The sequence below is a fragment of the Homo sapiens genome, chromosome 17 (genome assembly GCF_000001405.40).
Source record: "Homo sapiens chromosome 17, GRCh38.p14 Primary Assembly".
NCBI classification, from domain to species: domain Eukaryota; kingdom Metazoa; phylum Chordata; class Mammalia; order Primates; family Hominidae; genus Homo; species Homo sapiens.
The window spans coordinates 48,052,167-48,064,494 of NC_000017.11; the positions used below are offsets into that span (position 1 = coordinate 48,052,167).

At 52.6% G+C, this 12,328-nt stretch overlaps 1 protein-coding gene across 8 annotated transcripts in view, besides 5 other annotated features; it reads left to right on the forward strand.

Annotated features, from left to right (window-relative positions):
- The window catches only part of NFE2L1 (NFE2 like bZIP transcription factor 1), a 13,187-nt gene extending 3,808 nt beyond the window's left edge, over positions 1–9,379 (forward strand). For 2 of the 8 annotated variants that reach the window (NM_003204.3, NM_001439152.1), the window contains exons 3-6: positions 4,220–4,432; positions 4,866–4,955; positions 5,178–5,336; positions 6,129–9,379. In NM_003204.3, the coding sequence (NP_003195.1) occupies positions 4,220–4,432; positions 4,866–4,955; positions 5,178–5,336; positions 6,129–7,475 (1,809 nt within the window). In that variant the 3' untranslated portion in view covers positions 7,476–9,379. The remainder of the gene's footprint in view (positions 1–4,219; positions 4,433–4,865; positions 4,956–5,177; positions 5,337–6,128) is intronic. The other 6 variants (NM_001330261.2, NM_001439153.1, NM_001330262.2 and 3 more) reach the window with 3 other exon arrangements.
- Positions 2,081–2,940: an enhancer, noted in NCBI's record as "NANOG-H3K27ac-H3K4me1 hESC enhancer chr17:46131609-46132468 (GRCh37/hg19 assembly coordinates)". NCBI's record gives its function as "activates a minimal SCP1, AML or CMV promoter by ChIP-STARR-seq in primed H9 embryonic stem cells {active_cell/tissue: H9 hESC(primed)}" and the evidence as "EXISTENCE:reporter gene assay evidence [ECO:0000049][PMID:30033119]".
- Positions 3,788–4,057: a silencer, noted in NCBI's record as "fragment chr17:46133316-46133585 (GRCh37/hg19 assembly coordinates)". NCBI's record gives its function as "represses an EF-1alpha promoter that drives an FKBP-Casp9 reporter gene in an ReSE screen in HepG2 liver carcinoma cells {active_cell/tissue: HepG2}" and the evidence as "EXISTENCE:reporter gene assay evidence [ECO:0000049][PMID:32094911]".
- Positions 3,788–4,658: a biological region, named in NCBI's record as "OCT4-NANOG-H3K27ac-H3K4me1 hESC enhancer GRCh37_chr17:46133329-46134186".
- Positions 3,801–4,658: an enhancer, noted in NCBI's record as "OCT4-NANOG-H3K27ac-H3K4me1 hESC enhancer chr17:46133329-46134186 (GRCh37/hg19 assembly coordinates)". NCBI's record gives its function as "activates a minimal SCP1, AML or CMV promoter by ChIP-STARR-seq in naive H9 embryonic stem cells {active_cell/tissue: H9 hESC(naive)}" and the evidence as "EXISTENCE:reporter gene assay evidence [ECO:0000049][PMID:30033119]".
- Positions 4,659–5,518: an enhancer, noted in NCBI's record as "NANOG-H3K27ac-H3K4me1 hESC enhancer chr17:46134187-46135046 (GRCh37/hg19 assembly coordinates)". NCBI's record gives its function as "activates a minimal SCP1, AML or CMV promoter by ChIP-STARR-seq in primed H9 embryonic stem cells {active_cell/tissue: H9 hESC(primed)}" and the evidence as "EXISTENCE:reporter gene assay evidence [ECO:0000049][PMID:30033119]".
- Positions 9,380–12,328: the final 2,949 nt, after the last annotated feature.

Below are 12,328 nucleotides of genomic sequence, written 5' to 3' on the forward strand. Positions count from 1 at the left end.
TCTTTGCAAAAGGCCCACTGCAGGGAGTAGGGAAGAGAAGTCTGGGAGCTAGAAAGAGAAACTGCATTCTGCTGCCCAAGTCAACTTGCTTTGAGCTGTCAGAAGAGATCCTTAGCTCTTGTCACATGGCTGACATACTGTTCTGGGCAGAAAGCGATGCAGTTCTTTGCCTTTCAAGATGTGAATGGCTGCTGCTGCCCCTGCCTCACCAACATAAGATTGCTTTGAGCTCTGGGTTTGTATGGCTCTCGCTTGCCATCCAGCCTTAAGTAGCCGGGAAAGAGGCCCACTGCACTCCCCTGGCCATTAGGGAAGGAGAAAGCCCGATTGGGTTTTTGGAGGTGGCATGTGAAGGAATGTAAAAAGTTTTACAGATGTTACAGAAATGGGCTTCTCTGCCTGCCAGGTCAGACCACGTTTTCCCTCCTTCCCTGCTCTGTAGTCTTTTCCTGAGCTTAGTTCTCTGACTGTTAGTGACTGTCAAAGAGTATGGCTTGTTCTAGGCCAGTGGTCCTCAACTGGGGGTGATTTTGTCCCCGAGGGTGCAGGTGGCAATATCGTGAAACAGTTTTGGTTGTCACATCTTGGGGCGGGGTTGCTACTGGCACCTAGTGGGTAGGGGCCAAGGATGCTGGTTAACATCTTGAATGGCACAGAACACCTTCAAACAACAGATTTGTCTGACCCCAAGTGTCAGTAGTGCAGGGATTGAGACACTCGGCTCTGTGCTCAAATGGCTCATACTGGACCTGCTTTGAGAGAGACTAGGATTATCTGAGCGCAGGAGCCAGGAACATTTCTTACCTTTCAGGGCCTGTTAATTTAGCTTCTTACAGGGCCACTTGGAACTTCACCTCTCTTCTGCTTCCCCTTTCCTTCAAGTGGGCTCTAATCTTGGCACAGTGTTCTGAAGTGTGCTTCCCAGTCTCTGCTCTATGCTCCTCCCCCAGGGTAGCTCCCCCAGGGGTGGGTGTAACTGGGTTTGCTCCTGGAAACCCTGCAGGGTAGCTGCATATCTGTTCCTGCTGGGATGGGATGGGATATTTTGGATATTATTGGGTGGGTTGGGGCCGAATGGGATGGGACTTTGACCCTGCTTTCCTCTGTTTCTTGGCCCTCGTGAAGGTTGTGCTTTTCCTCATCTCAGGCCTTTATAACTCCCTTTGGGAGGTGGGGTGGGTCAGCATTAGGGGCCCAGGCTGGGTATGGGGGAAGGGAGGATTATTATGTGTCTAGAACAACATTTCCTCAGCAACTCAGGGATAAAAATACCCAGGTCCAGAGCATGTGACAGGCACTGCTGGAACCGGTATTATCCCTGGGGTGGCAGTACTCCCCCGCTGCCAGGCCTGCTCTATGGACAGCCATAGCCTAGGCTGTTGTCAGGGATAGGATTCCCCTTGAGATTGGCATTCTGCCCAGAGCAGGGGGGTGGCCTGTTTACAGCTCTTTCCAGGCTAGGAGCTGACTGTGACCAGAGAGAACATACTGTCTCTCTGACCTGACCTTAGGCTCCAGGGGAGCAGCAGTGGGGAGGGAGCTAAATTTCCCCTCGAGAAACCAATCCAGGGAGTCTGAATTGTGATACTGAGTCTGTGAGGGGCTTCTTTCCTGCTTGGATGAGATATGGGCCAGGAATCAGGCAGAGAATGCTCTTGAATAAAGCCGGGGTGAAAGGGGAGGGGGGACATTTGTGGCCAGGAGAATGCAGAGCACCTGTCTCCCTAAGTATGGGGCTTCAGGGTTGTGTCTCCCCTCCTCTTGCTTGGGGCTAGGCTTGGCCAGCACTGTGACATTGCTGCACGTGGGCAAAATGGCCTTCCCCTTTTCTCTAGTCTGGCCTATTTTGGGGTGACAAAACTTACGGCTTATGGTGGGCCTGGGTGCCCTGGGTTCCTGCCCAGCCTGGCTCGTGATCCCTGGCCTTGAGAACTGGCCACTGCCTTCCTGAGGAATGGGATAACTCTTTCCACTTCCAGCAAATAATTTAGATTCCCAGAGAATCTGCGGGAGAAGTGTCTGCCCAGTCCTGAGTGGGCTGGATGAGCAAGATGCGACAGGAGGGAGGAGAGTGGCACCCCTTCCCCCAGGGCTCTCACTGCGCCACCCCAGCTGACTGACTGGGCTGGGTGGGGCTGCCCGCCCCTGGGCGCATCTCCTCAAGGAGACGGAGGCGGCCCAGGGATGGGCTGGTTCCTTGCGGCAGCTTCTCCAGCTGCCCTGATGCAGAGATTGGCTCCCGTCTGCAGCTAGGTAACAGGCGGTGGGAGGGGATTGGCTCCTTCCGCATCTCCAGCGGAGACTTGGGGGAGGAGATTGGCTCTCGGCGCAGCCTAGGTAACGACAGTGGGAGGGGATTGGCTCTTTGCGCAGCCCAGCTGCTGACCTGGGGGAGGGGATTGGCTCTCTGCAGCCTCAGCAGTGACCTGCGGGGTGGGAGGGGGTGGGGATTGGCTCCCTGCTGCAGCCTAGGTAACAAGTTTGGGGGGCGTGGGGGGGAGGAGCGGGAGGATAGGCCCAGGAGGGAGCTTGCTTTCCTCTGCAGCTTGAGCACGGAGCATGGGGTGGGAGTCCCATCTCACTGCAGCCTCTGCGGTGAGCTCAGGGTGGGGGCAGCTGGGCGCCTGAGTGGAACTGGGGTTGTGAGGTGGGAGGGGGCTGCTCAAGGATGGAGGAAGGGGGCTGGCTGGGCCGCCCAGGCAGCAGCACGGGCGGGGCACCCTCCTCAGGCCCCTCGGAGCTAGCAAGGGGCCACCCTTCCAGCCTGGTGTGCTCCCTGAAAGCCAAGAGCTCCTTGCAGCCCCCTGTCCGGCTTCCCGGCACCGGCTGCCCTGGGGCTCATCTCGCAGACCATGACCCGCCTGGACCGCAGCTCTCACAGTGGTGGGGGCCATGCCAAAGGCAGCCGGCCCCTTAACTCTTTGCTGGCTGGTCACCGGGTGGCCCAGCCCGCCTCTGCTCCTGGGTCCAGGGCTTCTGTTCAGGTTGGTGTATGTGGGGAGACTAAAGTAGTACGTCTGGGAGGTCTTAGGGTCAGGGGGGGTTAATGGGAGAAGAATACCGACTTAGAGGTAGGGAGGAGGGTCTGATCTAAGGAAATTGCTTTCTGGAAAGTGTATGTCTGCATTTTAACCCCTGGATGGAAGGCAACACTTTAGGGTTTCTTCAGGCTTGTAGGGAGGGCTCGACTACAGGGGGGTGCCATGTATAGGAAGCCCAAATAGCTCTATTTATTGGGGTTATATGCTGTTAGTGGGGGTGGCAGTTGGTGCAGCAACTGTTCACGAGCCACCAGGGTAGAGCGGGAGGGAAGCATTTTTGGTGCCCAAGGTGGCAGTTGTAGCTGAGCAGTGATGGGGTTTATGTCCTTGAGGGGGTTGACTGATGGGGATTTGGTGAGTCCTGGGGTATGGTGAGGGAATGAGAGCACTGGTGTAGGGGACACAGTGAGGCTGGCCCGAGCAGGGGGTGGGGTGCACCCCTGGGGATCATCTGACTGCCTGAGCCTCCCTGGAATGGAGGCAGCAGCTAGGATCAGCTGAGAGGGAATTCTGGCGGGGATGAGTCTTGAGGTGAGCCTGGGCTTGAGGAGTTGTGGGTGTTCAGCCTTACTCTTGCTGCCAGCTGGGGAATGGGGAATGGCTATAGGAAGGGCTGGAGACAGCATGGCGTTGTCATTGGTTGCATCAGGTGGTTGGAAATGCAGGGATTTTCCTCTCTAGCCCACCCCACCCCTTTATGCAAATGAAATGGTACCACAGGCTGATGCAAGCCTGGCCACTGCTAAGTAATTCTGCATGACAATTCGCTCTTGCTTGCCATGGCCAGCTTCCTCCAAACCAAGTTTTAAGGGGTCCAATCCCCAAAGCTAGAGGTGTCTCCTGATGTTCCCCTTCTTTCTTATGTAGGGGGGAGGCGGCCCTGCCTTTTGTCTGGGTGTGTCTTGGTCCAGATCCTAATCCTTTGCACCCTTATGGTGATAGTCACACTAATGGTTTTGCTAGTGGCTCTTTTTTTTTGTGGGAAGGGGATAGTGTCTGGAAGTAGATGAATGAACACTTGCTGGTGCAGGGACCAGGGGGTAAAGGCTGGCAGGTGAAGAGCTGGGAGGGGCCCCACCCAGGACTAACTGGGGTGACACTAGGAGGGAACTCTGAGGGGCAGGACAAGGAAGGGACCTTGGGATCTTAGAGCTAAAGTCATGTGATCTGTCTTTCAGGACATAGATCTGATTGACATCCTTTGGCGACAGGATATTGATCTGGGGGCTGGGCGTGAGGTTTTTGACTATAGTCACCGCCAGAAGGAGCAGGATGTGGAGAAGGAGCTGCGAGATGGAGGCGAGCAGGACACCTGGGCAGGCGAGGGCGCGGAAGCTCTGGCACGGAACCTGCTAGTGGATGGAGAGACTGGGGAGAGCTTCCCTGCACAGGTACCATCGCCCCTGCTCACTGGGCTCTCTTCTTGTCCCTACTACCCTGACACAAACCAGGCTGGAGTTCTTCCAGAAACTTCCTTTAGAGAAGACAGGTGGTGTGTGGGGTGGACCTGAATTTCTGTTTTGGGTTGGGGTCTGTAAGTCACAGTGGCTGAGCCTTGGAAGGGGGGAGTGGAAAGCAGCAGATGCAGAATGGCCAGGCCGTGGCAACAGACAGTGCAAGGGAGGCAGAGCATGTAGCATCTTCCTGCTTGCTTCAGGACTCTTTCACTCTCTTCTGTTGTTTCTGGGAGTTTGGGACTCGGGGCCAGCCATTAGCCTGGGAATGGGAGGGAGACTGCAGGGCTTCAGCCATTCTGGGAAAGAAGCTTCAGCCCCAGGCAGCCAAGGCCCAGGTCAATCAGACTTACAGTTCCTGTTGCCACAGGTGCCTAGTGGGGAGGACCAGACGGCCCTGTCCCTGGAAGAGTGCCTTAGGCTGCTGGAAGCCACCTGCCCCTTTGGGGAGAATGCTGAGGTGAGCAGGACTCCAGTGAGAGTCCACCAAGTGAGCAGGGCAGCCTGTACCTGGTGTGTCCCTCCATGGCTGAGGGGCCAGCTGTTGGTTCTGGCCTTATTCTGGCTGCTGGGGGTAAATGCAGAGGAAGGAAGAACAGAAACAGGTCCAGGTGGTAATCTCTGGGAGGAAAGCACAAGGTTTTTCCTTCCCCCTTGTTAAAGCCTCTGTGTTTTGCCCTAGTTTCCAGCAGACATTTCCAGCATAACAGAAGCAGTGCCTAGTGAGAGTGAGCCCCCTGCTCTTCAAAACAACCTCTTGTCTCCTCTTCTGACCGGGACAGAGTCACCATTTGATTTGGAACAGCAGTGGCAAGATCTCATGTCCATCATGGAAATGCAGGTAGGATTGTCGGAACCGGGCACAAACCTATTGGATTTTGCACAGATTGTCTTAGCACTCAGTTGCTTTTCCATCTCCAAGGAGAGAAAGTGTAATACTTTCCCTGAATCATAGAGAAGTGGGGACAATGAGAAGAAACCTGTCCAGGTGTGTCCTTGGGGCAATGGGAGCTGGAGACAGGTAGGGTTTGGGTTAAATAAAACTCAGGACTCAGCCTTCCAAATCAGGGCCTGCCTCCTGGGTGTGCCTTCTTCCTTTCCTTCAGGCAGATAGGCACTTGGCTGAATGCTTCCAAGGTTGTGCGTTAATAATAGCTGACATTCACATGGTGCTTCACAGCCATCGTTCGCTCACTTGGCCCTCACAGTCATCTAGTCAGCCTTTATCTCAAAGGTGAGGAAATTGAAGCTCAGAGGTTAAATGATGTGCCCATCGTCACACAGCAAGTGGTGCAGCTAGGTTTTCTGACTTAAGTCTGGGTGTTCTTTTCACTGTGCTGATTTTGCAGTAACAAGGTAGTGTTTTCTTCCTCTCCCTCCAAGATGGGGGAGTCTGGCCAAACATGAGGAAAAGCTGATCAGTCCTATATTAGGGTGGAGCCTACATGGAAGAACCCATCTCTGCCAGGCCTGGTGGACGAAGCTGGGTCAGGAGCTGACACTGTGGGCTTTGGTTTATAGTATTTTGCCTTTACACCCATGCAGCTGTGCCTCTGTTGGGTGCCTGCAGTGTGTGAGCCCCAGGGGAGGGAGTCAGTTCCTAGTGAACAGTGGTGCTCTTCTCCCCTCCCAGGCCATGGAAGTGAACACATCAGCAAGTGAAATCCTGTACAGTGCCCCTCCTGGAGACCCACTGAGCACCAACTACAGCCTTGCCCCCAACACTCCCATCAATCAGAATGTCAGCCTGCATCAGGCGTCCCTGGGGGGCTGCAGCCAGGACTTCTTACTCTTCAGCCCCGAGGTGGAAAGCCTGCCTGTGGCCAGTAGCTCCACGCTGCTCCCGTTGGCCCCCAGCAATTCTACCAGCCTCAACTCCACCTTCGGCTCCACCAACCTGACAGGGCTCTTCTTTCCACCCCAGCTCAATGGCACAGCCAATGACACAGCAGGCCCAGAGCTGCCTGACCCTTTGGGGGGTCTGTTAGATGAAGCTATGTTGGATGAGATCAGCCTTATGGACCTGGCCATTGAAGAAGGCTTTAACCCTGTGCAGGCCTCCCAGCTGGAGGAGGAATTTGACTCTGACTCAGGCCTTTCCTTAGACTCGAGCCATAGCCCTTCTTCCCTAAGCAGCTCTGAAGGCAGTTCTTCCTCTTCTTCCTCCTCCTCTTCCTCTTCTTCCTCTGCTTCTTCCTCTGCCTCTTCCTCCTTTTCTGAGGAAGGTGCGGTTGGCTACAGCTCTGACTCTGAGACCCTGGATCTGGAAGAGGCCGAGGGTGCTGTGGGCTACCAGCCTGAGTATTCCAAGTTCTGCCGCATGAGCTACCAGGATCCAGCTCAGCTCTCATGCCTGCCCTACCTGGAGCACGTGGGCCACAACCACACATACAACATGGCACCCAGTGCCCTGGACTCAGCCGACCTGCCACCACCCAGTGCCCTCAAGAAAGGCAGCAAGGAGAAGCAGGCTGACTTCCTGGACAAGCAGATGAGCCGGGATGAGCACCGAGCCCGAGCCATGAAGATCCCTTTCACCAATGACAAAATCATCAACCTGCCTGTGGAGGAGTTCAATGAACTGCTGTCCAAATACCAGTTGAGTGAAGCCCAGCTGAGCCTCATCCGAGACATCCGGCGCCGGGGCAAGAACAAGATGGCGGCGCAGAACTGCCGCAAGCGCAAGCTGGACACCATCCTGAATCTGGAGCGTGATGTGGAGGACCTGCAGCGTGACAAAGCCCGGCTGCTGCGGGAGAAAGTGGAGTTCCTGCGCTCCCTGCGACAGATGAAGCAGAAGGTCCAGAGCCTGTACCAGGAGGTGTTTGGGCGGCTGCGAGATGAGAACGGACGACCCTACTCGCCCAGTCAGTATGCGCTCCAGTACGCCGGGGACGGCAGTGTCCTCCTCATCCCCCGCACGATGGCCGACCAGCAGGCCCGGCGGCAGGAGAGGAAGCCAAAGGACCGGAGAAAGTGAGCCTGGGGAAGAAGGGGGTTTGAAGCCCACCAAGACCGAAACTGGAGAAGGGCTGGACCTGGACCTGGACCTGGACCTACAGCGGGGACTTAAATGCCTTCTTATCCAATATATCTTCTCAGATGGGATGACTGCGGGTCAGTGTACAGGAAGAGGCAGGCACTGGCTGGCTCAGCTCCACTCGGGTGGAGTGGAAGTGGCCAGACCATTTAGACGGACAGGGTCCTCACCCTACCCCTTTCCTGTGAGGCAGGGGTGGTGGTGGAGTTGCTGGAGGTAGAGGAGCTATGTGGAGCAAAGGCCGACAGAGGGGAAGGAATGGACCTGTGAGAGGAAGGGAAGGTGGCAGAAAGTCTCATTTCAGGAAGGAGGGATAGAAGGAAGGAAGGAAGGAACCCCCCCCCCCCCGAAAAAAAAATCAAAGCGGGAAGAAAATCAGAGGGAAGGTTAAGGTTGGCTCTGGCCAGGATTCCAGGCAGCAGGTTGGAGTGACTGGTGGGCCTAGATCACTGGTGTGATAAACCCCAATTTTCACCCCGGGGGGGGTGGGGTACACAGACACAGGGTGGGGGTGGGGAGGGACGGTGTTAACTCTTTCTGCTCCTTGCATTTTGACATCCCTGAAGGGGAGCTCTTGGATATCATTGGCCATGTTTCAATCGAATGGAGCCACTGGGCCCCAACACTGGCTTTGAGATTTAGAGTCAAAGGGTAGAGTGAACAGGAAAGGGTCACGTGGTCCCATGTTGCAACAGCCCCAACATCACGCATGTCATTCACTGCCTTGCCACTCCATCTCCCTCCGTGCTCCAGCCACCCCTGAGCTGAGGCTCCCATTGTCTCCATCAGAGCCTGCATGTGTATGCCGTCCTCCCCTGGTCCGGTGTTTGTGTTCCCCACCCCTCACAGACTGCCTGAGCTCTTCTGTAAGCTGGGGTAGGGTGATGGCAGTGCTCCGGGAACTGGGCCTGCAGCCTTCCTCTTCTGGGACTGCTGTGAGGCAGAGGAATGATGGAGAATCTAGTGTAGCAGCCTCCAGGCAGGATTCAGCACAACACTGGGGAGTCACCCTTCCCTCGGGCCTCTGCCTACCAACAACTGGGCTTATCACTGGGAAAACACAAAAAATTACACAACCCAGCAACAACAAAAGAACTAGTCCTCTTAGAATTTCTTGCGCTTTGATTTTTTTAGGGCTTGTGCCCTGTTTCACTTATAGGGTCTAGAATGCTTGTGTTGAGTAAAAAGGAGATGCCCAATATTCAAAGCTGCTAAATGTTCTCTTTGCCATAAAGACTCCGTGTAACTGTGTGAACACTTGGGATTTTTCTCCTCTGTCCCGAGGTCGTCGTCTGCTTTCTTTTTTGGGTTTCTTTCTAGAAGATTGAGAAGTGCATATGACAGGCTGAGAGCACCTCCCCAAACACACAAGCTCTCAGCCACAGGCAGCTTCTCCACAGCCCCAGCTTCGCACAGGCTCCTGGAGGGCTGCCTGGGGGAGGCAGACATGGGAGTGCCAAGGTGGCCAGATGGTTCCAGGACTACAATGTCTTTATTTTTAACTGTTTGCCACTGCTGCCCTCACCCCTGCCCGGCTCTGGAGTACCGTCTGCCCCAGACAAGTGGGAGTGAAATGGGGGTGGGGGGAAGCACTGATTCCCAGTTAGGGGGTGCCTAACTGAGCAGTAGGGATAGAAGGTGTGAACCTGGGAGTGCTTTTATAAATTATTTTCCTTGTAGATTTTATTTTTAATTTATCTCTGTGACCTGCCAGGGAGAGGGGAGAGAGAGAGAGATGCTGTTGAGCACATGACAAAATAAAATAAAATGGATGATTCATTCTTAAGTGCACTTTTTCCCCACTTTGAATTTAAATTGAGAATAAAGGAAATGGACTCATTGTAGGGAGGACTGGCCATTGCGTGGCTAAGGCAGAGCTCACATGGGAAGATGGGTGGAGAACTGGGGAGGTTGACAGTGGGGAACTTCAAAAGGCAAGTCTTAAATATTGTATTAAACCTTGGGGGCAGGCATTAGACACCATGTACTTCATAGGGTTAGCCAGCTCAATCCTCTCAGGAAGGATTCGGAGTTTTTTTATTCTCATACAGCTAGGATAGGTGGAGGTGTCATTTAACCCAGCTCTTTACCTGTCCACCTGCTACAAACTACATTTTTAAACTCAACTGTGCTGTTATTTTTCTATTGGCCTCACCTGCCAAAGGGGTGCAGAGAATTGGAGTGTAGTTATGATGTTGAAAACCTGAGAAATCCATGGCAGCGACTAACATGTGACAAGCACTACTGTGTTAAGCAGGAGCAGGGCCACTAAAGAGAAGCAGGAGGCCAAGGTTTAGGACACTGGGAAACCTCCCCAGCTGAGGGGGCTAGAATCTGCTTTCCCTCAAACTGCTCAACTACCCGCCCTGTGAAGAGCTGTAATGTGTGAAGGTCTCTGGGATGCTGGAACTTCCACATGCCCATGTTAGGGCAGGTGTTTAGTAGATGCTGGAAGAATGAACACTCACTCAGCAGTCTTTTTATTGGCAGGGTCTTGCTTTGTCTCCCAGGCTGGAGTGCAGTGACGTGATCTCGGCTCACTGCAACTGCCACTGGGCTCAAGCCATCTTCCCACCTCCGCCTCCTGAATAGCTGGGACTACAGGCGCACGCCACCACGCCTAGGTAATTTTTGTAGAGACAAGCTTTCGCTATATTGCCCAGGCTGGTCTCAAACTCCTGGCATCAAGTGATCCGCCTGCCTCAGCCTCCCAAAGTGCTGGGATTATAGGCGTGAGCCATTGCACCTGGCTTCTGTGAGATTATTGGGCAGGGTTTAGGAGTGGAAGCTATGATCCTCTTAATGGAAGCTGTGATCTCAAACTCCTGGATACCACCCTGTAACCTGGTTCAGCTCAGTCCTTTAGTGATACTACTTCAGTAATGTTTACAATTCAGTAGAATTGTAAGAATAATGATGGTTTCTTATGTTTCAGTTTATAAGAGCCTCTCCACAACTCCCCAGTCTCCAGTTGGAAAGGTTTGGTCATATCAAACAAGAACTCTTTCCTAATTCAGAATTGACTAAAGTCTGTAAGCCAGATAAAACCAAGATACGTAAAGGGGTGAAAAAACCAAGACTAAAAATTAGTTTGAGGCCTGGTGCGGTGGCTCACGCCTATAATCCCAGCACTTTGGGAGGCCGAGGCAGATGGATCACCTGAGGTCAGGAGTTCAAACACGAGCCTAACCAACATGGTAAAACCGTCTCTACTAAAAATACAAAAACTAGGCGGGTGTGGTGGCGGGCGCCTGTAATCCCAGCTACTCAGAGACTGAGGCAGGAGAATCGCTTGAACCCGGGAGGCAGAGGTTTCAGTGAGCCAAGAGCGCGCCATTGCACTCCAGCCTGGACAACAAGAGCAAAACTTCCATCTCAAAAAAAAAAAAGGTTTCAAAAACACATACCAATACTTTAAGAAATACAAATTATATATAGAAGGGTAAACTGTGAGAAGTAAAATTAAGTTTTAATATTCTTGTACCCTTCCTAGAAATGTATGTACAGTCATGTGTTAACGGCCAACATATATTCTGAGAAATGCCTCATTAGACAATTTTGTCATAGTGTACTTACACAAACTTAAATGGTAGTGCCTACTACACACCTAGCCTATGTGCCATATAGCCTATTGCTCCTAGGCTACAAACCTGTACAGCATGTTGCCATACTGAATACTATAGGCAGCTGAAGTACAGTGATAAGTACTTGTGTATCTAAACCTAGAAAAGGCACAATATAGGCTGGGTGCAGTAGCTCAACGCCTGTACTCGCAACAAGACTGTGCAACTGCACTCCAGCCTGGGTGAAAGAGTGAGACCCTGTCTCAAAAAAAAAAAAAATACAGTATAAATAGGGTATTATAATCTTATCAGACCATAATCATATACATGATCTGTCACTCATGAAATATGCAGCACATGACTGTATATGTATTTTTGTTCAGTAATTACACTGTAACTTTTACCTTATTTTGCAACTTTTTTTTAACTTAAAAGACTTAAGAGATTTGAAAAATTCTTCTTAATCCCATTGCTAGTGTTGTCCCTGGTCTGAGTAAGAATATTTTTGTTGGCCAGGCATGGTGGCTCACGCCTGTAATCCTGGCACTTTGGGAGGCTGAGGCAGGTGGATCACGAGGTCAGGAGTTCAAGACCAGGAGTTCGAGACCAGCCTGACCAACATGGTGAAACCCCATCTCTACTAAAAATACAAAAATTAGCCGGGCATGGTGGCACGTGCCTGTAATCCTAGCTACTCAGGAGGCTGAGGCAGGAGAATGGCTTGAACCCGGGAGGCGGAGGTTGCAGTGAGCCAAGATCATGCCATTGCACTCCAGCCTGTGTGACAAAGCGAGACTCTGTCTCAAAAAAAAAGGAGTATTTTTGTTAGCAGCCCCTCCCCCTTAGAGATATGTACAGTTTTGTCTAGGATCGTGCTGATTAGCTGGGGCATGGGGCCAAGTTGGTCAGCACTGCTGTGGGGCTGACCTCTTTCTGCTGGCAGGTAGAGTGGGTGTTCCAGCCTCTTTCTGGCAGGAAGATAGGAGGACTGAAGTAAGGCCTGTGGAAGGGCTGCTACCACTAGCCATCTACCTAAGGCAGGAAGTGAGAAGATGTCCTAAGCCGAACAGGACTTAGGCTTAACAAAGGACCAAACTCTTCAGGGTGACTGACTTGGGTGGGTGTGGGAAAGCTTACTTTGTCTTGACTTCAGCAGTTGCAGGCTTCATTCAAACTGATTTTTTTCTCACATCTTACTCATGTTAAGGAGATGGAAATAGGCCCATATTT